The sequence below is a fragment of the Homo sapiens genome, chromosome 19 (genome assembly GCF_000001405.40).
Source record: "Homo sapiens chromosome 19, GRCh38.p14 Primary Assembly".
In the NCBI taxonomy this organism is placed as follows: Eukaryota; Metazoa; Chordata; class Mammalia; order Primates; family Hominidae; genus Homo; species Homo sapiens.
In genome coordinates, this window is record NC_000019.10 from 46,059,881 (window position 1) to 46,087,584 (window position 27,704).

The following is a 27,704-nucleotide window of genomic DNA, read 5'->3' on the forward strand; positions in this document are numbered from 1 at the left end:
CCTCTCCTCTTGAGGTCCCAAGATAACCTGGGGCTCCTGGGCCAATCAGAAAGTGACATTCTTTACTTACCACAGGTCGGGAACCCTGTACAGGGACTGTGTAGACAAGGCATGAGGCCAGGTTTCCCAAGGGGCTTTTATTGGCTTTATAAGTCAAGTTTGATTCCTTAAAGGAAAACATACCATTCCAATCAAAGCTTTGGTAAAATCACCAGTTTCTCCAATTGTGTCTGTTTGCAAAAGAAAACAGATCCTTATTGTACTTATGCAAATAACTATATTGCTATAAGTTAAGAATACTCACAAATAGTTTCCAAATTTTGGAGAAATCAGGCAGAGAGAAACAAATATGCTCCAAATTTTGTTCACAGGAGTTAAGCTGTCAGTAGCTCAAAAGAAAAGTTTCCTTGACTCTGAAAAACAAAACAAAGGATCCGCAACATTTTAAGCAAAAAGCCGAAAAAGATCACCTCAGTCCTCTATTAGTTCAGTCCATACAGATAACTTCTGTTCTGTTTGATATTCATGAACATTTCAGCTCTCCATGAGAGTCCTGAAAGTTTTTTCCTGTATTCTAATGTCACAATCTCCAAAGTTATCAGAAAACCTGCATTTAAGAATATCTGCTAGAGTCCTATAGCTGATTACAAACCACCTTTTGAAGAGGATTAAAACAAGAAAGCAATGATCTGTGGATGACATAAAGTCTTAGGACAGCCATAGTCAAAGATACGATTGACAAAGATATTTGGTTACCTTGTGGCACACAATAATTTAACATAACAATTGTAATTATTACTGATAATGTACACTAAGTTATATTAGAATAATAAGAGTTTCTCATGATTTGGGAACACATACCAATACATATTTACACAAATACAGCCCAAAGAAAGCCAAACATCATTTCATATTTGACAGTGTTTCTTGTATGATTTTTGTATCAAATAAGCCAAATGCCACCTTTGCATTAGTGTACTATTAATGTTAAACCTAATTCTTAATAAAATTTTATAGACAAATCTATTTAACCTTAATCAGTTTGACCATAAGGTAAGATTCTCGTAAACTTTTTATTAACCCTTAACAGATTTTCTTTAAAAAGCAGATCAGTGCTCTAAGATAAACCTTTTGTACTTTTATTCCAATGTTCAATTCATGGAAAAAACTGAGTAATACCCCTTTAACTTTAGCCAACATGTTCATACACAGAATTTCTTTCACAAGATCAATTTTTCACAAACCTTTCATAACTTGCTTAAACCTTCAGCTTTATTCTATCTTAAAACTTAAAACAATCCTTCAACCCTTTAATCTAGGCAAAAACAATCCACATTCCCATGCCTTCTTATAATCTTTTACCAAAAACACATTTCACTTTTTTACACACCTTGCATGTAAAACTTTTTTTCCTGAAGATTACATAAGTCACATGAACTAAAAGGCATTATAGTTTTTGTTTTTCTGAGAAAATATTTGATATAAGCTCTTATTATTTTTAAACCAATTAATTAAAGCTCTTTTATATAAACATTACACACAACACATGTAAATACACAGACAGACAGAAGAAGATCCAGTAGTTGTAAGATTGTTCATTTGCCAGTTTGTTAATTGGATTACTGGCAGGGTGGAGCCTTTGGAGGAACAGGGCCAGGAAAGCATGCAGTTTCTACAGCCTAACAAGCAGGCACAGCTGGAAGGCAAAAACAGATCCCCAAAAATTAAGGGCCTCATTTTTACACCAGGTCCTGGATCCCCAAAAGAAATGCTATAGAACAAGACAGTACAATAATTTTACCATGCATTTAATTGCTAGGCAACCCAAAGTCAATCAGCCCATTCTGTGATTAACCCATCCCCCATAGGAGTCTTATGTCTGGGTGGGGGGAAAGGGCATTTCCATACTTTTTAGGTGGTCAAGAGCATGCTTTTCTGTTCCAAGAAAAAGCAAAGCGCCATATATTCCCAAACCACTGCCATTAGTTATTTACCAAAGTATATTTCCTATCTAGTTATTACACACCAGAGTTCTCTCATAATGCAAAGTAATTTCTGATATTCCCCCAAATCAAAACCATCACATAACACAATGCGAAACAGAACAGAGTCTTCGATTTTGAGAGGAATCTATCCACTTTTAATTCCTAGGGTTTCATGAGGAAAACAGGTTTTTCCCAAAACGTGGTCTGTAGCACTTCCTGTTTTTCCCAAGGAGTTCCATGATGCTAGAGCTTGAAAAAGCTGACTTTTAACCATAGTGCTCTTAAAAAATCCTTTAAAATTTCTTATTACCCAACTTTAGCCAGGCCAAACTGCCAATATTTCTGGCTTTTGAACTTTACCAAAGGAAAACCTTCCAAATGCTCCGAGAAAGGAAAATTCAAGATGGTTGGTGGAGGGGAAAAGAATCAACAAATGATGAAGGTCACACAGATATAAACCAGAAAGCACTGATTCCCTAAGCCAGGATTGAACCCAGGACACCATTGGAGAATGGCACAGCCTTACCTACTGAGCTACAGCACTGAGCAGTTTCTGCTGCTTTTCCCAGAAGGAGCCTAGAGCAGCCAATTTTGAGCTTGCACAGGCTTTTAAGTGCTCAAGATAGTTTTTAGAGTTAACTGTGATATGAACCCCTAAATTCATGTTCCCTGGAAGGTAGAGCCAGGAGAAAGTACTGCCACATCGTTACAAGGTTAAGCTCCCAAGGACATCTTTCAACATGTGGTCTCTGGGCAAGATGAAGGAGCAGACAGTTGTCCTGAGTAACAGAAAAGAGAGAAAAGAGAAAGGAGAGAAAGGGAGAAAAGCATTGCCTGTGGCAGGGTAGGGAAGGCAAAGAACTCAGGGAGGCCAGAGAAAGACTCACCCATTGCAGCCACACTGAATCAAAAGTTTAGGCCGCCCCTTCTTGGTTGCGAAGGAATCTTTTCCAGCAGTCCCATCAGCTCTCAAGTTTCCCCCTTTGGGGAGAAGAAAAGTTCCCCATGTCCTATTGTCCCATGATCCTGTACATGCCTAATCCTGTCACCCACAGCCATCAGCAAAGAGTGCAAGGCAGATTAATCCAAAGAGAATAGCACTTAACATCCTGTAGTGCCAAACCTGTTCTTAGCACATAGAGAGGGACTTTACTGAGAGGGGCCTCCATCCTCTTAAGTCTTAGGAAGGATTCTAATCTGCCTAAGATGGGCCTTGAACCCAAGTTCGGTCAAGCGTCCTTGCCTTTAATTAAGAACGACCTTTACTCATGTATGATTATTTTTATTGTGGTAGAAAGAGCTTGGAGCTAGTAGTTCAGCAAAGTGAATATAAACCCTGAATTGGCACGGAGTGATGGGGCACTTACTCTATTATTTAAATTCATTGCAATCATTACAGATGCCCTCCAGAGCTATCACCAAAGCCTCCCTTTTCTCTATTCAAAAGAACATTTAGAACACACACGCATGCACACACACACACACACACACACACACACACATACACGATCCCTCTGTCCTCTTTTATGTCATCACTAACTCAGTTCAAAGAGCACTTCCTCAGAAGCATTCACTCACTCACTCCCCAGATTTTGTCAAGGTTCCCTTTTATCAACTCCCATTTGAAATCTTTACTTTCCCTACATGCACTTTAAAAGAGATGGTATTTCAATAATTATCCTTTCAATGTCCATTTCATGTCCTGCACTACAATAGAAATGTCTTGCCATACACTCTGCATCTAGCACAGAGCCCTGCGCAGAGGAGATGCTCCATATTTATTGACTTCAACATCAATAGCCAAATTGAGGCACTGAGTGGAAGTAAACCAAATTCAATTAAATAAGATGGGTCAGGAAAGACCCATACTTGGGAATAAATCTAATAAAAGTGTACAAGATCTTAACACTGACAGTTACAAAACATTGCTGCAATAAATTCAAGAATTTTGAAATAAACAGAGCTATTCCATGCTCATGGATTGGATTTCTTAATATCTTTAATAAGTGATTCTCCTTAAATGAGGTATAGATTTGGTGCAATCAAAATCAAAGTCTGTAGGCAGGCATAGTGGCACGTGCCTGTAATCCCAGCTACTTGGGAGGCTGAGACAGGAGAATCGCTTGAACCCGGGAGGCGGAAGTTGCAGTGAGCCAAGATAGCACCACTGTACTCCAGCCTGGGTGACAGAACGAGACTCCACCTGAAAAAAAAAAAAAAATTCCAACAGCTTTTTTCTTCCTGGAAGTTTACATGCTGATTCTTGTTACAGGACCTAGAAAAGCCAAAATATTTATTCTTAATTTTAATATTTGTGGGTACATAGTAGGTGTATATATTTATGGGGTACATGAGATGTTTTAATACAAGCATGCAATGCATAATAATCATGTAAGTGGGGTTTCCATCTCCTCAAGCATTTATCCTTTGTGTTACAAATAATCCAATTACACTCTTGGTTATTTAAAAATGTAGAATTAAATTATTATTGACTATAGTCACTCTGCTATGCTATCAAATACTAGATCTTATTCATTTATTATATTTTTGTACCCATTAACCATCCCTCCTACCCTCAATACACTTTCCCATTAACCACGCCCCCTACCCATACCCTTTCCAGCCTCCAGTAACCATCCTTCTAATCTCTATCTCCATGAGTTCAATTGTTTTGATTTTTAGATCCCACAAATAAGTGAGAACAGGTGATGTTTGTCTTTCTGTGTCTGGCTTATTTCACTTGGTATGACCGCCAGTTCTATCCATGTTGTTGCAAATGGCAGGATCTCATTCCTTTTTATGACTAAATAGTACTCCATTTTGTGTAAGTACCCCATAGATACTTAGGTTGTTTCCAAATTTTGGCTATTATGAACAGTGCTACAACAAATATGGAAGTGCAGGTATCTCTTCAATATATTAACTTCCTTTCTTTTGGGTATATATCCAGCAGTAGGATCATATGGTAGCTCTATTTTTAGTTTTTTGAGGAATCTTCAAACCGTTTTCCACAGAGGTTGCATTAATTTACATTCCTACCAACAGTGTATGAGGGTTCCCTTTTCTCCACATCCCTGCCAGCACTTGTTATTGCCTGTCTTAAGGATATAAACCATTTTAACTGGGGTGAGATGATATCTCATTGCAGTTTTGATTAGCATTTCTCTGAAGATCAATGATATTGAACACCTTTTCATATGCCTGTTTGCCATTTGTATGTCTTCTTTTGATATATGTCTATTCAGATCTTTCACCGATTCTTTTGATCAGATTATTATATTTTTTTCCTATAGAGTTGTTTGAGCTCCTTAGGTATTGTGGTTACTAATTTTTCTTTTCTTTTCTTTTTTTACTAATTTTTCATCATATGGGTTTGCAAATATTTTTCTTATTCTGTGTGTTGTCTCTTCACTTCATTGATTGTTTCCTTTGCTGTGCAGAAGCTTTTCTTTTCTTTTCTTTTCTTTTCTTTTTTGAGAGGGAGTCTCGCTCTGTCGCCCAGGCTGGAGTGCAGCGGCGTGATCTCACTCACTGCAACCTCTGCGTCCTGTGTTCAAGTGATTCTCCCAAGTAGCTGGAAATACAGGTGCATGGCACCATGCCCAGCTAATTTTTGTATTTTTAGTAGAGACGGGGTTTCAACGTGTTGGCCAGGCTGGTCTCAATCTCTTGACCTTGTGATCTGCCTGCCTTGGCCTCCCAAAGTGCTAGGATTACAGGCCTGAGCCACCGCGCCTGGCTGGCATTTATTTATTGGGTGCTGCTACAGATCCCTCTGCAGATATTAAGCAAATGTGCTGAAAGCCTTTCCAAGAAAGAATGAGTCAGATTCCAATCCGGGCCTTAGCCCCAGGATATTGTCCACAGAAATGTGGAGCACAATGATTACGCCTCTTTCTCACTTAGGGGATTTTCTGTAGAATCTGTTTCTCTCCAGTTCTTGCCCTATATTGATATATTTCTCAGGGCTGCTCTCTAGAGGGTAAAATGTGATGTGTCAGAAGATCCATGGAAGCAGCCAGGAACCAGTTGCTAGGAGTTTGGAAAAAAATCCTGGGAGCAGGCAGAGGGTATGTGGGTTTGAATGTCAAAACGGCCATGAAGCAAAGTAAGTGAGAACCAAAGAATCCCATCAAAGTAGCCCCTGAGAGACCCTTAAGGCTGAAAGTGGAACTTAGCTCAGCATGGCCCTCTCAGCCAGGTGATTTTTTCTCTTGATTTCTGGTGAAGCGTGAGCTTGTAAAGCCACAGGGAGCCAGCACCTACCATCTTCTTGAAAGCCTGATGCCAAAGATCTTTAAACATCTTGACACCATATATCAAGGAATCCAGCTGCCAGATAAAATACAAGACTTCTAGTTAAGTTTGAATTTCAGATGAGCAACAAAGAAATATTTAGTGTAAGTATGTCCCAAGTGTTACCCAAAACATACTAAAATGTTTAAATTATCTGAATGTCAAATTTAAGTGGGCATTCTTATGTTTTTATTTGCTAAACTGGCAACCATAACTAGGAACACCCAACTCCCAGCATCCATGAAAGCTCTCTCTACTTTCCTGCAGACTCAAAGCCAAAGAAGTACCAATACTTCTTCAGGGACCAGTGTATTAAGCCACTTTTGCATTGCTATAAGGAAATACCCAAGGCTAGGTAATTTACAGAGAAAAGACGCTTATTTGGCTCATGCTTCTTCAGGCTATATAGGAAGCATGGTGCTGGCATCTGGTTGGCTTCTGGTGAGGCCTCAGTGACCTGTTACTCATGGCAGAATGTGAAGCAGGAGCAAGCATGTCACATGGCTAGAGTGGGAATGAGACTGAGAGGAAGTGTCACACATTTTTAAATGACCAGATCTTGCAAGAACCCACTATTGTGAGGACAGCACCAAGCTATGAGGGATCTTCCCCATGACCCAAACACCTCCTGCCAGGCCCCACCTCCAATACTGGTGATTATATTTCAACATGAGATTTGGAGAGGACATTCAACCTATATCAACCATTTAAATTTAAAGTTGAGGAATGAAAACATTTAAGAGCAAGTAAGCATGAATTATGTTCACCCAATCGTACTCCTAAAACCATCTCAGCTCCTCTCCTTCAGCCAAGGGCATGTCCTCATGTCCAATCTGGTTCTCACTGGAGAGATTTGGGAGTGGGAACTCTGCAATCTTGCTGTGGTCAATAAAAGAACCTCCCAGAGGCTCACAGGGGCTTCAAGCTTCAATCGTAGTCCCCATTTCAGATCCTCTGACACTCTCCCATCCACTCTCCTTGTGCCTGCTTCAAAGCCACAGCAAACAGAAGCCAAACCTTTAGTAAGGATGATCCCAATCTCAATTCCAACCCCAGCCCCAGCATATCCACCTTTGCCTATACCTAACACTACTATCTGGACATCCGCTTTCAGCCCAGGCCCTCGCTGTTTTCCTCATTGCCTCTGTGGCACCTCAGTCCCAGTTTGCCCTCCACCCATCCAGGAAGCTCACTCCCTTCCCTGGATTCTCATCTTGGCTCTTTTATGAGCTTCCTTGCATGCCTTCACCTTCCTGGGTTCCAGAGAGCCCAAGACCAGCTCCCAGGAATAGTGCCCCTACCCCGATGAGCCTGATCCCAGAAGAATTAGCCCCAAAGTAATGCTGAGCTTTAGCCAGAACAAAAGCTAGCCTAGAAAATTCCCCAGGCAGGAAACAGATGACTGCACATAAGTCTCATTGCCGACCCCATTCGTTTCCCACAGGGGCTTGTCTGCATCCTCATCCACGTGTGCTCAGGCTCAGAGTGAGTTTCAGGTGAGGAAAGAGTGATGAACAAGCAGAATGGAGGAGGAATTTGTGGGGTTGCAGGATGGGGCTCTGACAGGGCCCCAGGTTGGCAGCCAGGTTTGTTTCTCTCTGGGACCCACATCTGATCTATCCCTCAGGAAAGAGTCAGTCAGCCAGCCCCCAGGTGTGGAAACCAGATCTGTGACATCATGGAGAACTGCTCCATGGATAAGCCCATGAGTAAGCCCTAGTGCCATTTACCCAGGTGTGGATTCACCTGCTCCTATGCTCCACTTCCAGCAATGATGACAAACATTCTTTGGTCCCTTGGATCAAAAGACTTTGAGTCAAAAGGTTTCAGGTGTGAACTCTGACTGCACCTTCCCCCATAATCAAAGAAGGATCCAGGTAGGAATCCCTGCCATGCTCCAGGCTGAAGCGGGGAGAGAGCAGCAGAAAAGGAATTTCAATAACTGGGTCCTCCCAAGAGGGGACCCTGCTCTGTTCTCCATCTCTCCACCTTTTGTCACAGATGCTCTTCAACCAATTCCGCCACCATGTGTCACCATGTGTCTCTGAACACAAATCTTAAACAATCTCTTTATCTCTCCAGATGAAGAAAGACCCACCAGGGCAGACAGAGCTGATGTTTCCTTGCAGTGGCTTAGACAGTAATCTGAGGTCCTGGGATACAGGGTACATTAAGATATTAAAGACCTCGAGCTCTGAGTGTCGAATCTCATCATGATGGAATCCAACATAAAACAAGACTGAATGCAAACATGATGCTTAATTGTGTGCGGAATTGAAAAAAATAGTTCTCAATTTTTTTGCTTGCAAATTGTGGGATACGTTTACCAGATTTGAACTTTTCCCTTATTTGTCATCCCGCTTTGTTGATTCTGTAACCAGGGGCTTGGGATTCATTTTGGGGATCCCAAAGCCCTTGTTTGTTGAAGGGTTTCAAAGTCTGGTAGGAGGGTGGTGCACACACAGATAGAATTGTTCATCTGTGGGCGGCCTCTGACTCCCTCCCTGGGTAGGCCTCCAGGCCCAATCCTTCCTTCTGAGGAACCGCCGGGAAAGACTTTGATCAAAACAATTAAATGCATTGGGAGCTCAGTCTGAGGCAATTATGTGGTTTCATAGAGGAAGAGGTAGAGATGACTCAGGCATTTCTGGCCCCATGTCAGCCTCAGGGCAATCACATTCGGGATTTTGCAAAAGACACATTCACTCTGAGCACTGGAGACCTACATCTCTTTGTCCAGTTGACTTAAGTTCTCACCAAGTGAATATCTTCATGCTAAAGACAGTTTCATTTGTGATTAGGGACAGGAGAGCATGTTTCCCCTCGGTCCTCTGATTCTGACTGGAGGGGCAGTGCTGAGTTCTGGATCGGGGCTGCTGGCAGTACGTGGGAAAGCTGTCCTATCAGTACTGTATAGAACAGGTGGTCAGAGAAAATGCCTCCCTGGAAAACCTTTTCACATGGTTGAATGTCCCCAGACATGAGAGGGAGTGGAGGACTTTGTTCTAGAGCCCACCTCAGAGGCCAGGCACTGCCAATGCCATGAGCAAAATCTTCCACCTCTTTCCCCCAATTTTCTCTCCATCTGGATTCTGTGTTGCTGAGGTCATTTGCTCTGTCTCTTCCTACCCTCTGTATTCTTCTCTCTCATCTGACTGACTTTTCTCACTCAATTTTCAAATATCACCTAAAATAATAATACAGATAAGAAACAAATGTATTCTAATGAAAATGTTCAGTCTGAGAAGTAAAGATTACATGGTGAGCATTGATAATTTTTATCATGCTTCCTACCCTCCCCAAAGGTAACTGCATTTAAGATGTAGTGTTTGTATTTTTCCATAAATTCTGTATAGTTGAATACATATAAGTCTACATATATGCCACACTTTTCCCTTCTTATAAATAAGATATCATACATCCCCCCCTTGAAGCCCTAAAAGCCCACAGATCACAGATAATTCTCATGGCTGCCTAGATTTCTATTTTATGGATAAATTGTAATTTATTTCATTTGTCTTCTTTTTGAAAATTATGTAGGTTGTTTGCAATATTTCAGCCTTACCCTAAAAATTCTGCAACAAATATTCTTGTATGTACATATTTGGGCACTTTAATTAGAGTGTTTAGTCAACAGCAATAGATGTGAAAATTCTGAAGCAAATTGTGTAAGATGCTCTGAGCCATATGCATAGGGAAAAATCTAAACAATAGATTAGACTAAAGCAATAAACATGAATGAACAGGTTCAGGGTTTCAGTTTTAAGAATTGAAACATATTTTGAATGGCAGCCAGTAAAATGCACTGACTCCAAACACTTCAAACAAGACATTCCTGTTATCAGGAAGGTTAGGAGGGTAACGCTTGTTTTGTTCACTAAGCTGGGTGGACTCATGATTACTGAAGCAATACTCATTTCTGCTTTAGTCTCCTATGTTTGCATCCCATGAAGCTCAAATACGAATTGAAGCAAATCTCTAAGATTTTTTTTTTTTTGCCTTATCTCCTAAAACTTGAGGAATGCATGTGTTCTTAGTGATTCACATCCACGGGACAAAAACTCAAGGAGAAATAAGAGCTGACGTCATGCAAGTCTTGGCTGCTTTTGTTACTATACATTTTCTCTGAGAGTCCAACAGACTTCGGGCTGGAACTTGGCACTGGAGACTCATGTTCGGAATCATAGGGGAACATCTGGCTGTTAATCACTTGCACAATTTAGAACATTTCCTTTACATTGGCTTTAAATTCTAGCCCTTATTTCATTTTGTAGTCTTATTTTCTTTCTTCTGCATGCTCACAATACCAAGCATTAAATGTATTTTAATAACTAAAAAAAAAAAGGAATTTTATTTCTGGTGGTGTTACTAATGGTTGTGTGATTGTGCAGAGTCCAGAAAGCTGCTGACTTAACTACCCATCACCCAGCTCAAAACGCCCAATCCCCTCTTAGGTGAAAAGTGATGACCATACAGATATTTAAAGGAGAAGCACCCTCACTTACAACATCAGAGGGTCAAATCTACAGGCTCATCAGCTGTCCTACATTTTGTCAAAATAAAGCTCCTCTCAAACATGGAGGCACATCGGCAGTTCATGGAGCCAGAAGTACCTACTTCACCCTCTCTCTTACATGGGTGGGCCTGAAGTACTCCTTATCAGGGCATCTGGACTCTATTTTGGGTGTGTGCAAAGTGTTTTGAAGGGTTTTTCTTGGTCGATGTTTTGTATTTGGGGGAAAAATTAATCATCCTCAAATTGAATCGCCTAATCACCAGGTGACCCCAGGTGATGGCATGGCACCATACTCTCCAGAGGTCTGCGATATTTGCCCAGTGGAGTACAGCTCCCAACAAGCCTGCGGTCCTCCATTCATGATGCTCTCTAGAATCCCAAGATGGCGTTTGTTTGCCTGCATGGGATTCACCTTCCATGACTCTCAGGAATCAGGAACTCAAAAGACATGATCCTGTTTTTTTTTTTTTCTTTTTTTCTCTGCCTATGTGTATCAGCTCAGCCAACCTCCTCAATGTGCTTTCCCTCACGCCAGCGGCACACCAGCAAGTCAGCAAAGTTCAGGGGCTCAGTATGCACTGAATGAGGACACAAGTCTTATTTGCCTCTCCCTTGACTATGTTGGGGGTAAGGAGAAGACACAGCCTCTCTGCAAGCACAATACTCTTCCCTGAAAGGCCACCCTCTTTCTGGTTTCCAGTACTCCTCTTATATCACTAGTATCACTAGTTGGTTCTGCTTCTCTCCCATCCAGGGATCTGGAGAAGTTTCATATCAAATAAACATAAACACACGAATAAATGGGTGTGGTCCTGGAACCAAATAAATAATCTTCATTGAAGTGGGGATGGGGAGGTGTAAGACAAAGACAGTAGTGACTTGCATTAGACAGGAGGTAGTGTGAAACCACGACTCCTGAAACTGTAAGCCTGGTCTGCTGATCATGGACACCAGCAGAATGAATTCATAAGTTCAAGTGGTGGAATAATATTTTTACAGAGGTAAAAGAAAATAACAGCCAACAAAGACCTTTCTAAAATAGCCTTCAAAAATGGTAAGGAGGTTGGGCACGGTGGCTCACGCCCGTAATCCCAACACTTTGAGAGGCCAAGACAGGTGGATCACATGAGTCCAGGAGTTTGAGACCAGCAACTCCTGGGCAACATGGTGAAACTCCATCTCTACAAAATAAAAAATTAGCCAGGCATGGTGGCACATGCCTGTAGTCCCAGCTACTCGGGAGTCTGAGGTGGGAGGATGGCTTGAACTTGGAAGGCAGAGGTTGCAGTGAGCTGAGATGACACCACTGCATTCTAGCCTGGGCTACAGAGTGAGACCCTGTCTCAAAACAGAAAAAAATGAAGCTGAGGATTCTCCAACTTACAGCCATTAAGGGCAGTGACTTCAACGAGACTACTTTTCCTGCTATTGACAACAGTAAAACTGGATGAACCAAATGAGGCCACTGTTTTCAGGTGGTGAACGAAGACAGGATAAAATATCAATCTCTGAAAGTAAAGTCACAGAGTGAACACCTGGATATTTGGACTCTGCCTGGGGACAGTTTCCCAACGGAAGTGCAAGTAGCAAGGATCTGAGTATAGCACAGCAGTTCCGCAGAACTAAGGTTCTGGATGGCTTGATGGAACTGGAATCCCTTAGGTGTGGCATCAGTGAAGAAGTGCGAGCCCCCCAAATCCACGTGGGGTCCACCAAAGTTCCTGGATGAAGACTGGTCTGCACATGCACATTCTAGACCACCCAAAGCTTAGCAGAGAGGTAAGTCTTAAGAAGTATTTGTCTCATTTATACCCATGGGATTTTAATCAATGGAGGTAATGACAGGGAGATGCCAATGCCATTGAAATATGTTTAATGTCACTCACAGTTTCGGTAGAAATTAGAGGCACAGAATGTGAAGCAGGGGCATGTGGGGAAGCCCCAGGTGTGATCAGGAGACAGAGGCAGGAGTGAGCAAAAACCTAGGCCAGAGCCCTTATGATGTGTTCTGTGGGAAAGGCAGAACAGGGCAGGAGATGCAGCTCACAACTGGTCAGTTTGAATAATATTGGCAGGGTGTGAAATATAGTGGCAGCCTCTAGTTGTCTGGTACCTGGCCCTGGGTTGACTTAGGGCAGAGAAAATGTTGGCTTGGTGTGTAAGAGAGATAAAGGAGATGGTTCAGAGCGGGGGCTCTGGATCTCGGGGGAGATGCAGATACCTTTGGCCATGAGTTAAACCCCGTAGTTAATGGATACCAAATAGAGAAATACAGACTCAAGAAAACACAAAGCACTATCCCAGTTGGGAGAGCACAAAGGAGACATTATCAAAAGTAATGTGGGATTCTGGATTGGATCCTGGAGCAGGAAGTGGACAGGAGGGGACTACCAACAAAACTAAAATAAAGCCTGTAGATTCAACATTCATTTCCTACTTTCAATAATTGTATTAGGATCATTTAAGATGTTAACATTAGACGAAGTTGGGTGAAAGATCAAAACTCTGTACTGGCTTTACAACATTCTTGTAAATCTAAAATTATTTCAAAATGGCAGGTTAAAAAGTATTTTAAATGATACCTACAAAATACTATCATGATAGTGATAGTGAACACTCACTAAAGATATGATCAGGATGCCCTAATAGGCCTCCTTATTCTTGTAATTGCAATTAGAGTTCCTTCTTTCCTTAATATTATGTAACTGGAGCTCCCTTGAGCTATTTCTAGCCTGGGGTATAATGTCTGACTCATACACATGTAGTTTCATAGGAAGCCTTGGGGCCCTAGCAGAATAACACTATCACCCACAAGATAACCAGCCAGGTGCTGCACCAGGTCTAGGCCCTCTGTGTGATGGATGCGGTCCCGTAACCAAAGGGAGACAAAGTTACCACACCCTATGTGGCCCAGAAAAATGGCCAGAGACTGAACTGGCACAGTCTCTGCTAACACAAGAGTAACAGCACTCTTCCACCCAGTCCATGCTGCCTGGAACTTCCCTGACAGAGAATCATTCTGGGATCATTCTCGAGAACTTGGCAAATATCTCAACACTCTGACATCACATTCTCTTCTACAGTCAGGATCCTCAATCCTGGATTATAGACTCACAATCTCAACTTCTTTTCTGGACACTGGAAGTCTTTAAAGATAGAATGGTCAGAATGACTGAAAGTATTTTTTTGTAATGAGAAGCCAAATTATTGTAACACATAAAATGATTTTGCTGAAAAACTTGATTGATGGCACATAATTACAAGGCATATTCTTTCCTTTCTTAGTAGCTTAAAAAATCAACATTTCTTTCCTTCTCTAATACATTACTTGGGAATGTCTCAGTGGGGAAGGCTCATTTCTCCTTCGCACAGTGTTAGCTACGATGGCCTGACTGAGCCTGGAGGATTTGCTTCCAGAATGGCTCATTTATGTGCTTGAGAAACTGGTGCTGGGTGTCATTTGGGAGCTCAGTTCAGGGAATTGGCTAGGGGGGTCTTAGTTCCTCTTCATATTAGTGCCTCCACAGGGCTACTTGGGCTTCCTCCCAAGAAATCTGTATTAGTCAGGGTTGTCTAGAGGGACAGAACGAGCAGGAGATATATATATACATATATATATATACACACACACATATATATATCTTATTATTGTGGGACCTTGTGATCGTGTGAGTTAACACTACTTAATAAACTCCCATATATGTATATGTATACTTATTATAATTAATGTATGTATATCTACATATGTATATATGTGTATGTATATATACACATATGGGAGTTTATTAAATAGTATTAACTCACAGGATCACAAGGTCCCACAATAGGCTGTTTGCAAGCTGAGGAGCAAGGAAGCCAGTCCGAGTCCCAAAGCTGAAGAACTTGGAGTCTGATATTTGAGAACTTGGAGTCCGATGTTTGAGGGCAGGAAGCATCCAGCATGAGGGAAAGATGTAGGCTGGGAGGCTGAGACAGTCTAGTCTTTTCACATTTTTCTGTCTGCTTTCTATTCTAGCCAAGCTGGCAGCTGATTAGATGGTGCCCACCCAGATTAACATCGGGTCTGCCTTTCCCAACCCACTGACCCAAATGTTAATCTTCTTTGGCAATACCTTCACAGGCACACCTAGCATCAATACTTTGCATCCTTCAATCCAATCGAGTTGACAGTCAGTATTAACCATTACAGAAGCCAAGCTCCGCATGCAAGTATTCCAAGAAGCTGATGAAAATCATGTCCCTGACATGGAAATCAAGACACTTTCACCACATTCTACTGGTCAAGGAAGTCACAAGGTAAGCCCAGATTGAAGAGGAAGGGATTCAATTCCACCTTTCAATGGGAAGAACAGAAAGAATTTGTGGCTATCTTAAACCTACCACTTAGAGTTTTCAATAGTTTAAAGAATAATTTATTTTTAGAACAGCATTAGATTTACAGAAAAATTAAGAAGCTAGTATAAAAAGCTTCCAAATACCTTGAAACCAGCTTCCCCTATTTTTAGCTTCTTACATTAGTATTTTATTATAATTAATGAAAGGATATTTATACCCCGTTAGTAACTAAAGTCCATAGTTTATCTAGGTTTTCTTCATTTTCACCAGATGTTCTCTTTCTGTTCCAGAATCCTATTCAGGACACATTGCATTTAGTTGTCCTGTCTCTTTAGCCTCCTCTTGACTGTGACAGTTTCTCAGATTTTTCCTTGTTTTTGATGACCTTCACAGTTATGAGCAGTACTGGTAAGGAACTTGCTTATTTTCTGGCACAAGATGCTTCAGATCCTTACCAGGGTCTGAAGGGCACTGGTAAGGTTGTAGAATATCCCTACTGGAATTTGTGTGATTTTTCCCTCTAATGATTAGACTGACATTATTGGTTTTGGGGAGCAAGATAACAGAGGTAAAGTACCATTTCTATCACATCCTATCAAGGAGATACTGTCAACATGATTTATCATTGATGATTATGACACCGATTACCTGGCTGATGTGGTATTTTTCTCCAGCGTAAAGTTACTCTTTTTCTCCCCTTTCCACATTGAACTCTTTGGAGCCAGGTCATTATTTGCAGCCTGCATTTTAAAAAGTGAGGAGTTGGGCTTTCCTTCCTTGATGGTGCTGTATTTATATATATTACTTCGAATTCTTCTGTATTAGAGATTTGTCTCTTCTCCCCACTTATTTATTCAATCATTTATTTATACCAGTAGGAACTCATGAGTATTTATTTTAAACTTTGGGTTTATCTTAGTCCATTCCTGCTGCTATAACAAAATACCTTAGACTGGGTAATTTATAAACAACAAAAATTTATCTCTCACAGTTTCCGGAAGTTTGAAAGTCCAAACTTTCAAACACCTGCAGAGTCAGTGTTTGGTGAGGGCTGCTCTCTGCTTCAAAGATGACATCTTTCACTGTATCTTCACATGGCAGAAAGGGGAAACAAGAACAGACTTCCTCCAGCACTTTTATATGGGCACTAATCCCACTCATGAGGGAGGAGCCTTCGTGACCTAATCATCTCCTATAAACCTACCTCTTAACACTGTTGCATTGAGGATTAAGTTTCAACGTGAATCTTGGAGGGACACAAAAATTCAGACCACAGTAGGGTCATAACCCAATACCACCGAATTCATTTCTTGCTCAAATTGTTCCAGCTTTGGCCACTGGGAGCTCTTCTGTTGGCCCTTGTGCCCCTTTGACATATTGTGATCAATGTGGGGTTATATCATTATTGTAATTGTTATTTTCAGCACTTCCTTATTTTCTGGCACAAGATGTTCCAGATTCATCGTGTATATTTTCTGTTCCAGATCTAGAATGTGCCATTTCTCCAAGGACTGTGCAGTCCTTTTTTACACTTCTTTCCTTTTAAATTTATTCCGTGGTTCTAGTTCTTCCTTGATCCTAAAAGTTTAGGTCAAATTGTATACATTTTCCCGGTTAGTTTTATTTAGTAAATATAAATATATTATTTAGTTTTATTATAAATACATTATTTATAATAAATATAAATACATTATTTATAATAAATATAAATAATAAATATCCTGGTGTTGTCAACTTAAAATGCCCAGAAATATGTAAAAGTGAAAACAAAACTCTTGATTTAAAGATACGTTTCACTCTATCTTTCCTGGCTGCCCGGCACTTCTACCTATGCGTCTTCCCTGTTCACTGACCTAGCTTCTGTTCTTTTGGTGCTGGAAGCACAAAGAGGGTGTGAGATTCCTAACGTTATTGTGATTATCCATGGGCTTTTCAAATATGTAAAGCGGATTACCTCAAAGGCCCCCTTTGGCTTCTTTAGAGACACAAATGCTGAGGATCTCTCACCTGAGCATCCCTCGATGAGGGCTGTTGCGTCTTGATTTCATCTGGGTAGTTACAGGCATCATCCACCACGAAGTTTCCAACCCAGAGTCAGGATGCAGCTGAGCTTGACGGGCGTGGTGCAGACGTCGGTGCAGCGAAAGCTGAGGAGCCGTGGGCGTTCACCCGGGTGCCGGTGTTTCTAAATCGCGGGCTGCGACCTGCATACTCAGGTGCCAGCTGGGAGCAGAGGCGGATTTGCGAGGCCAAAACCTGGGTGTGACTTGGAATCTCAGTCGCGCTATGGGGGTGCACGCTGGCTCAAATCCCCGTGGAAGATGCACCTGTGACCTGCCCAGGCTGCAAAACCAGGTGCGCTGCCATGGGCACGACTCACTGGGCTCCATTTTCACCACAGGGAACTTGGACCGCCTGACATTGAAAAAGACTGAGGTAGCTCGGGGGCAGCCAAAAGAAACCAGAGGCGGGGATCCTAGTATCATTCAGGAAGTGGACCCAGCCGCAAACTCAGGAGCGTTCCAAGTGTCCAGAGCGTCTGGTAGTCGCAATAGCCAGTGATCAGTGACACCCCCAAGAAAGTGATAGCGACAGAAACATGGCGACTACTTACACTGCCGCCCCCGTGCGCCCCTGCGCGAGCTCTGCTGGAGGCGCCCGCGGGAGCGCCTGCGGGAGCGCTCCACTGCGGAATCCGCCGCTCTCTTCTCTGAGCAGTCTCCTACTGCCATCTAGGGAGGAATACGGGGATACCGGCTGGAGTACCCTCTCTATCTTCTTGCCTGCAGGGGTCGCAGGATAGATGTTTCGAGAGCCTATAAAAGTCATACAGTGCTATGGTGGGTGCACGCTAAACGTGCCTTTGACACTGTGATTAAATCACATAACCCATATAAAAAGTAATTGGAAAAGACAACCCCCAGAATGGAGAGAATGTTTAAAAATCGTATTTCTGATAAGAGATTAATATCCAGAATATATAAATAACTCCTGAACTCAACAACGGGAACAAATAACTCATTTAAGAGACAAGAGAAGGATTTGAATAGACATTTCTCTAAATAAAATACATAAATGGCCAATAATTACATGAAAAGATGCGCAACATCATTGATCATTAGGGAAATGCAAATCAAAATAACATGGAGATAGTACTTCACTCCAACTAGCATGGCTATTAACAAAAAAACAGAAATTAACAGGTGTGGGTAAAGATGCGGAGAAATTAACAGGTGTTGTGCATTGCTGGTGGTAATGTAAAATGGTTCAGCTGCTGTGGAAAACAATGGGAGTTTCTCAAAAAGGTAAATATAGAATTAATTAATATACGACCCAGCAATCCCAATAGTAGGTATGTACTCCACACAATTGAAATAGGGACGCAAAAAGATATTTGACATCAATGTTCATATCAGCATTATTTATAGTAGCCGAAAGATGGAAATAACCCAAGGGTCCATCGACAGATGAATGGATAAACAAAATGAGGTATTTTGATACAATGGAGCTGGCTACTAACCACCTGCTCCTGTATTACCTAAAGGCCTTCACTCCCTAACCCATTGGTCTTTTTTGTCCATTATTTTTTGTAGGGGTTATAACAGCATTCAAGTGTGGAGTCAAGGCTCACTTTAAAATGCATCAAACATAGCTATGTATCAATTCACCACAGTCCGTCAAAAGGCCTGTGACGCACTCTCTCTGGGGGTATTTGAGCCGATATCCCAGTAGTCAACACTAGATGGCAGTAGGAGACTGCTCAGAAAATGGAGAGCGGCGCCCACCTTGCAGTGCGCAGGCGTCGTCAGTAGACATCGCGCAGGCGTCGTCAGTAGACATCGCGCAGGCGTCGTCAGTAGACATCGCGCAGGCGTCGTCAGTAGACATCGCGCAGGCGTCGTCAGTAGACATCGCGCAGGCGTCGTCAGTAGACATCGCGCAGGCGTCGTCAGTAGACATCGCGCAGGCGTCGTCAGTAGACATCGCGCAGGCGTCGTCAGTAGACATCGCGCAGGCGTCGTCAGTAGACATCGCGCAGGCGTCGTCAGTAGACATCGCGCAGGCGTCGTCAGTAGACATCGCGCAGGCGTCGTCAGTAGACATCGCGCAGGCGTCGTCAGTAGACATCGCGCAGGCGATGGGTGAGGCGGCTTTGGCCGCCATGTTTTCGTCGCAGTAACTGCCTTGGTGTCAGTAGTCATTGCCAGTTTCGGGCGTTCTGGACAATTGGGATGCTGCAGAGTTCATGGCTGGGGCTGCTCGTTGGGTGGGACAAGAATCCTCTGCAATGGTTTGTTTTGGCTGCCCAGGAGGTGCGTCAAGTCGCTGCCGCTCCCCTCGTGGGCGTCAGGCCTCAAGAGTTCCCCGCCTAGAAAATGGAGCTCAGCGAGTCGTGCGTACCATGGTGCACCTGGTTTTGCAGCCTAAGCGGGTCACTTTAGTGCATCCTCCTCGCGGATTGGAGCCTGTTTGCACCCCTATAGCCCGAATGAGACCCAAGTCACACGGGCTCAGAAGTTCTTTGCCCCTGGCCATGATCCCCCAGCCAGCCACCCGAGTTTCCAGGCCTCAGGCGCTTTGGAAACGCCTGTACGTCGCCTGTACCTGAATGGCAGGTACTCATCTGCTTTAGCTACATCATAGTCTGCACCACTTCTGCCAGCTCGATTGCAGCCTGGATTTGAGTCAGAAACTTTTCATGGTGGATGAGGGTTGTAAATATCCAAAGCGACTCCAGATGAAATTGCCCTCATCAAAGGAAGCTCAGATGACAGATTTCTGCATAGAAGCCAAAAAAGCCTTCCCTCAAGGAAAGAGTCAGTTTCAAGTATTTGCAAACTCAGAACAGTGTCAATTTTAGATCACTACAATGCTGCCCATCAAGGAAGAACCCTATTGCTCCCTGGCGTCTCTCCTTGAGCCCTAAACACAGTAGATTCAGAAACTAAGTCAGCAAATGGAGGAAGATTCTTAACCGTGATAAGTTGGAAAACGTGCGTCAGAGGGCCACATCCCTTCCTCGAGTTCAGGCTACCACCTGACTGCAGGTCAGAGCTGGAAGAGACAGTGAAAATGTAAGTTTAAATAAAGATTGTCGTTTTCACTTTTACATACTTAAAGCCATTTTAAATGAGTCACGGGCAGATATTTATTAAATAAAATGACCAAAAAATTAATGGGATTTGACCTAACTTTTATCCTGGGGCAGGGGAAGAACTAGCACTGCAGAATACATTTAAGCTGCGAGCCGTGGCTCCTGCCTGTAATTCCAGCACTTTGGGAGGCCAAGATGGGAGAATCACTTGAGGCCAGGAGTTTGAGACCATTCTCATCAACATAGCGAGTCAACTTAGGGAGATCCCATCTCTATTTATTTTTTAAAATAAAAAAAAGAATAAATTTAAAAGGAAAGAGGTGTGAAAACGACAGCTACTTAGTAATTAAATTCTGTGAGTCATGGCTTGTTCATGGGAATGATTCTATTTGAATGTTATAATAATTTTGTTTCTAATTTCAGAAAGTATTTTGGTCCTTCTGACCAAGTCTTTGTATCTGTGTAAATCATGAGTTAAAGAAATAACTTTCCAAAAAGAGGTTGAGATCTTCTGATTCAGGACTTAAGCATTGTGAGTGTCAAGGGGGTGTGGTGTCAGTGTTGAGATGTGTGGCCCTGTCCCTGTTGGTGGTCTTGGTTTCAGACTTCTGTCAGGAAAGAGTCAGACAGTGTTGACTAGGAAAAGGAGTTCTGTGGTGTCTGTGGTTTGGTCTGTGGTAATTTTGCTGAGCCAGAAAGGGAATTCCAGCCTTGATGTCCAGGGCTGACTCTCCGGGCAGGCTGCCCATTGGTGAGTGGGAGCAGTGCCTGCTGTGCTTTCAGGACTGTGTCCATCACTTCCTGTCCAGGTGGACACTGTAGCGCAGGCTTCCCATTGATGGACGGGAACCTGATCTCCCTGTGCTTTTACTGCCATGCTCATCACGCACTGGGGATCATCAGCCCACCTTTTAAACCCAGCCCACAATTGGCCAGTTATCTTGTGGGTGATAGTGCAACTGTCTGTGTCGCCAGGCTTCCCACACAACTATCTGCATCTGGTTTGGACTGGCTAAACCAGGCCACACCAAAGGTCAGGGGAGCCTTAGATACATAACGCTTATTTCAGGTGTGAGGGAGCATGTGAAGGCACCCTGATTGCATCTTTAGGAAGTGTTCATTATCGTGATTGCGTTTTTATATGTAACATTTAAAATATTGTCTAACTTATTACTTTAAAATAATTTTAGACTTACAAAGAAGTTGCAAAAACAGTATGGTGAATTTGTCTTTTTCACTCAGCTTCCTCTAATGTTGCATAGCCTTAATAAAATTATTGAAACCAGAAAACTAATACTGACATAATACTATTAACTGATCTGCAGACCTTATTTGAGTTTCATCAGTTGTCCCACTCGTGTCCGCTTTCTGGTCTAGGATGCAATCCAGAATTCAGTGTTGCAATTCGTTATTGTGTTTCCTTACTCTCCTCTATTCTAGGATAGTTCTTCCTTAAGCCTTACCTGTCTGATAAGCCTTGTCTTATCAGACAGATAGTCTTGTCTGTGTATATGCAGCCTAGCCCTCAGCCAGGAATTTGGGGAAGACTCCACAAGGACATGTGGTGCTTACCTCTGCACAGTTCTTCTTTGATACCATACCTCAGAGACTCCAGGCTCACCAGCTGCCCTGAATGCCCTCAGTGCTGCAGAACTGCTGTCCTGTGCTCAGATCCCAGCTATCTGCATTGCACTTGGGAAATTGTTCTTTGACAACTTGTTTATCTAAGGGCTCACCCTGTAAATGTCCATCCCTTGTGGAATTGCAGTCTTGTGCTACCTGTTGTCTGGTACCTAAACACAGTGGCTTCATATACTTTATTCTGTGTGCAGTTTTATAGTTGTTAATGTCAAGAGAGCTAGTCTAGTTTCAGTTAACACCATCATGGCTAGAAATGGGAGAATCCTCACTTTCATTTTGAAGGCTATTTTAGCAGAGTATACACTTCTACATTGGCTGTTTCATTCTTTCACTCTTTAATGAGGAAATTCCTTGTTAGTACTATTCATGTCCTTGGTTAGCAGGCCAGTCATGCTTTCAGGAGTCTAGTTTTCACACCATCTTCTCTTCAGTTCAAATTACTGTTACTTTCCTTTTCTGTTTCCCCATACCTGGGTCCATGAAGATGTATTTACTATTACTACTATCATTATTAAGACAGTTAAACTCTCCTGGGTTCCTAGGTGGGAGAGAAGTTTAACTGTCTACAAGTATAAGGGGAGAACTGGAAGGCAAAAGAGGGTAGCCTTTTGGGGCAAGGTGTTTCTCTTTAGAGAGACTGTAATTCTCTTGATCCCCACAGGGTGGAGGTAAACTTGGCTGGTTTCCTAGTTCAGTGCATACTAAACCTCTGAACTTGCTTGTGTGCCACTGAAGAGAGGGAAGACACATTGAGGAGAAATGCGGAGCTGATACAGACAGGCATATTGTACACAACCAAGATAAGTGGGATCAAGCCGCCCTGTAAGAGAGAGGGTAGAAGCAGGGACTTCTGGCTCCCTGAACTGTTAACTGTGTCTCCATTTTTTTTTTTTTTTGAAGACACTCCACTCTGTCACGCAGCTGGAGCGCAGTGGTGCAGTCATGGCTCACTGCAGCCTTGATCTTCTGGGCTGAAGTCGTGTCTTCATTTTTGATAGGAACGTTATTTTGACAAAATGTGGGACAGCTGATGAGCCTATAGATGTAACTCTCTGATGTAGTCAGTTAGTCATATGGGTAGCTCTCCTTGACAAACTGCATAGGAATCTCTTTTGTCCTCTTAGTAGGTGGTAATTTTCCCCTGGGTGTGGGATGGCTAAGAAGGACTTGCACAATTACATAACCATGGGTGACATCTCCAGAAAGAAAACCTCCGATAAACATGACATTTTCTCTTTTGGGGCATTTGGATTCAGTGCATTTTATTGGCAACTGTCCTATGTGTTTAAATTCCTAGAACTGAAACCCTGGACGCACGGTAGCTCATAATTCTTGTTACATAAGATAATTTGTTTATTGTTTTAGTTTTCAATTAGTTTTTCCTTAACATATAACTGAGTGCATCATAAACAATTTGCTTTAGAATTTCTACTTCCAGGGCTGTTACTGACTGGATGCAGTGCACAAAGACATACGTATAAGACTATTTTTTTGTGATATTTTAGAGCAATGGTGAAAAGTTGGGAACAACTTAAATCGTTTTCAACAGAAGACTAATGAAATAAATTACTGAAACTTATTCACAAAATGGAAATCTAGGCAGCTGTAAGAAATGGATATGTGCTCTTAGGGATTTAAAGGGGTGTGTATAACATTATCCCATAAAGACTAAAGTGTGGTACGTGTGTACATTTATATTAATATGTATGCAAATGTGTAGAATATAGAAAAATTCAGACACTATGTTGTAAACACAGTTACTTTGGGGAGGAGAGGAGGTGCGATGAGAGAATACCAACCATGGCTGTATAATCTCTATTTCTGAACATACACAACATTTTTCAAGAAAATATATTACTTTATTATTTGAATTATTATTTTCAGCCATATGTATAGACTGAAAGGAGAGAGAGACAAGGAGACAGAAAGAGACAGTGACAGAGAGGACAGAAGAGTCACAAAGAGTGGGAGGAGAGAAAGGGAAGGACCTTAGCCACAGAAAGTTGAGAGGAGAGTAAGTTGGAAGAGGTAGTGATTAGAGATTTTGCGCATTGACAGTGGTTGACTTGGCTTCTGGGGTAGGCCCTGGAACAAAGTCCTCTGATCCTCGGTTGTTTGGGAATAGTCAATTATGTAAGGGTATTCTGGTGCTACCAGTTTTGTGCAATGGTGGGCATTTACTGCTATAAACTTCCCTCTTAGACCTGCTTTTGCTTTTTCCTACAGATTTTGGTATGTTGTGTTTCCATTTTGTTTGTCTCAAGAAATTTTTAAATTTCCCTTTTAATTTCTTCACTGACCCAATGATTGGTCAGGAACATGTTGTTTAATTCCCATGTCTTTGTACTGTTTCTGAAGTTCCTCCTGTTACGGATTTCTAGTATTATACCATTGAGTTAGAAAAGATACTTGATATGATTTCAGTCTTCTTAAATTTGTTAAGACTTGTTTTGTGGCATACATATGATATATCCTGGAGAATGCTCATGTGCAGTTGAGAAGAATGTGTATTCTGCAGCTGTTGGATGAACTGTTTTGTATAAATCTATTAAGTTCATTTGGTCTAGAGTATAGTTTGAATCTGATGTTTCTTTATTGATTTTGTTTTGTCTGGTTGATCTGTCCATTGCTGAAAGTGGGGTGTTGAAGTCCCCTACTATTACTGCATTGCTCTCTCTCTTTACTATTACTGCATCTGTCTCTCTCTTCAGATATATTAATATGTTAGGCCATTCCTACATTGCCATAAAGAAATAGCTGAGACTGGATAATTTATATAAAAAAAGAGCTTTCATTGACTCACAATTATGCAAGCTGTACAGGAAGCATGGTGCCAACATCTGCTTCTGAGGAGGCCTCAGGAAGCTTACAATCATGGCAGAAGGCACAGTGGGAGCAGAAGCTAGAGAGAGAGTGTGTGTGGGAGGTGTCACACACTTTTAAAAAACCAGATCTTACAAGAACTTATCACCAAGGGATGGCACTAAGCCATTCATGAGGGATATGTCCCCATGATACAAGCACTTCCCACTGGTGCCCCCTCCAACACTGGGTATTACATTTCAACATGAGATTTGGTGGGAATACAAAGATCCAGACCATATCATTCCACCCCTGTCTCCACATCTCGTGTCCTTTTCACGTTGCAAAATACAACCATGCCTTCCCAACAGTCCTGAAAAGTCTTTACTCATTCCGGCATCAACTCAGTCAAAAGTCTCAAGTCTCATCTGGACATGAATTCCTTCCACCTATGAGCCCGTAAAATCAAAACAAGTTATTTACTGCCAACATACCATGGGAGTACAGCTATTGGGTCGCTCTCCAAAAGGGAGAAGTTGACCAAAAGAAAGGGGCTACAGGCCCCAATGCAAGTTTGAAACCCAGCAGGGCAGTCATTAAAACTTAAAGCTCCTGCAGTGAGCCGAGATTGCGCCACTGCACTCCAGCCTGGGCAACAGAGTGAGACTCCAGCTCAAAAAAAAAGGAAAACAAAAAACACCAAAAGAAAACAAAACAAAACAAAAAAACTTAAAGCTCCAAAATAGTCTCTCTTGACTCCAGACTGTAGTGTTGGGTGCATGTGTATTTCATATAGTTAAGTCTTCTTGTTGAATCTGACCCTCTATCATTATGTAATGCCCTTCTTTTTCCTTTTTGATCATTATTGGTTTAAAGTCTGTTTTGTCTAGAATAAGAATAGCAACCCCTGCTCTTTTTTGTTCTCTGTTTGCTTGATAGATCTTTCTCCATCCCTTTACTTTGAGCCATTTAATTTGAGATGGGTCTCTTGAATACAGTATACAGTTGGGTCTTGCTTCTTTATCTAACATGCTCCTCTGTCTTTTAAGTGGGGCATTTAGCCTGTTTACATTCAAGTTTAATATTGATATGTGAGGGTTTGATCCTGTCATCATGTTGTTAGCTGGTTGTTATGTAGACCTGATTGTATAGTTGCTTTATAGTGACAGTGGGCCATATACTTAAGTGTGTTTTTGTGGTGGCTGGTAATGGCGTTTTGTTTCCATGTTTAACACTCCCTTAAGGAACTCTTGTAAGGCAGGTCTGGCAGTAATGAAGTCCCTTAGCATTTGCTTGTATGAAAAGGATTTTCTTTTCTCCTTTGCATTTTTGTTCTTTGCAACAACAAAGAAACCATACAGGAACATTGGTTGCCTTCTGGGACACCAACAATTCAAATATTTTATTGCTTTAATAGTGCTTCATATTTCATGTAGGCTCCACTCATTCTTTTAAATTATTTTTTCTTTGTTTTTGTCTGACTAGGTTACTTCAAAAGACCCATCTTTAAGTTCTGGGATTCTTTCTTCTGCTTGATATGGTCTATTTTTGAAGCCTTTGAGTGTATTTTCTATTTCATTCAATGGATTCTTCAGTTCTAGAATTTATCTTTGGTTCTCTTTAATGATACCTATCTCTTTGGTGATAAATTTCTCATTCATAGCCCGAATTGTTTTTCTAATATTGTTGGTTTTTTTGTATTGTATGTCATTGAGAACAACTCACTTCTTTAATAACAACATATTGAATTTTTTCTGGGATTTCATAAATTCCTTTTTTTTCTTGTTTTTTGGAGATGGAGTCTCGCTCTGTCTCCCAGGTTGGAGTGCAGTGGTATTCCACTGTCCACTCCAATCTCCTTCTCCTGTGTTCAAGAAATTCTTGTATGTCAGCCTCCTGAGTACCTGGAATTACAGGTGCGCACCACCATGCCTGGCTAATTTTTGTATTTTTAGTAGAGACAGGGTTCCACCATGTTGGCCAGGCTCATCTCAAGCTCCTGACCTCAAGTGATCTGCCTACTTCGGCCTCCCAAAGTGCTGGGATTACAGGCATTCGCCACCACACCTGACCTCATAAATTCCTTTTTGATTGGGATCTGTTGCTAGTGAATTATTGTGTTCCTTTGGATATTTCCTTACTTTTTCATGTTTCTTGTGTTCTTACGTTGATATCTGCACATCTGGTGTAAGAGTGGCTTCTTCCAATTTTTTGAATTTGCTCTCATGGGGAGGATTTTTTTCCTGAAGTTGTATCTATGATGTTGGTTGGGTAGGGAATTTTGGCTTTGATTGTGGGTACATGCAGTAGTGTAGTCTCTGTGTGATTTATTTTGGCTATAAACAGCATCAGTGGTGTCTTTCATTTTCTCAGTGGCTTAGGGTGCAATTGTTAGTGAAGGCTATTATGAAGTTTTGCTGGAGACTGGGATGCCAGGTAGGCCAGGTTTTGGGCCACGGTGGCAGTAGTGGGCTGAATGTGCCTGTCTTTGGGCCCCAGGGTGGCATACACTGGCATCAGTGTTAGCAGGTCCAGGCAGGCCAATCGTTGGTCCTCCAGGTCGCTTGATCAGGTATTGAGAATAGCAGTGGTATTTGGATGGGTGGACAGGTTCTTGGGCCCTGGGCATAAGTAGCATGGGCAATGGCAGTAGCAGTGATGGGACAATCCTCTGAGACCCAAGCAGTCTGTGCTGATGTTGGTGGTAGCTGGGGTGCACTAGGCAGGCCATTCCTCAGGCTCACAGGTGGCACCTGCAGGTGGGTGCTGGCTGTGGTGGTAGTGGCAGGCTGGTTGGGCCTAACCTCAGATGTTAAGAGAAGTGTTCAGGTGCTATCAGTAGTAGACCAGGTTGCGTGATCTGCAGGCCCCTTTGATGGGTGCTCAGGTACTGGGGAGGTGGAGCTGTGCCAGGCAGACCTGTTCTCAGGCCCCCAGATGATGTATGTAGGCACTGGCTCTGGTAATCAGGGATAGGGTGATCCTCAGGCTGCCAGTGGAATGCTCAGTTGAGGGCAGCAGGAGCTGCACTGCG

General features: G+C 42.2%; 2 protein-coding genes across 28 annotated transcripts in view; one reads left to right on the forward strand and one right to left on the reverse strand.

The window, feature by feature from the left end:
- IGFL4 (IGF like family member 4) overlaps positions 1–17,749 on the reverse strand; it is a 38,448-nt gene extending 20,699 nt beyond the window's left edge. For all 6 annotated transcript variants that reach the window (NR_169756.1, NR_163177.1, NR_163175.1 and 3 more), the window contains exons 1-2: positions 17,140–17,749; positions 305–413 (exon numbers count right to left, since the gene is read on the reverse strand). The gene's annotated coding sequence lies outside the window, so the exon portion shown is untranslated. The remainder of the gene's footprint in view (positions 1–304; positions 414–17,139) is intronic.
- Positions 17,750–18,632: 883 nt separating this feature from the next.
- IGFL2 (IGF like family member 2) overlaps positions 18,633–27,704 on the forward strand; it is a 136,850-nt gene continuing 127,778 nt past the window's right edge. For 16 of the 22 annotated variants that reach the window (XR_007066608.1, XR_007066610.1, XR_002958257.2 and 13 more), the window contains exon 1: positions 19,252–20,207. The gene's annotated coding sequence lies outside the window, so the exon portion shown is untranslated. Of the gene's footprint in view, positions 20,208–27,704 lie in introns of all 22 variants that reach the window. The other 6 variants (XR_007066605.1, XR_935743.3, XR_001753605.1 and 3 more) reach the window with 1 other exon arrangement.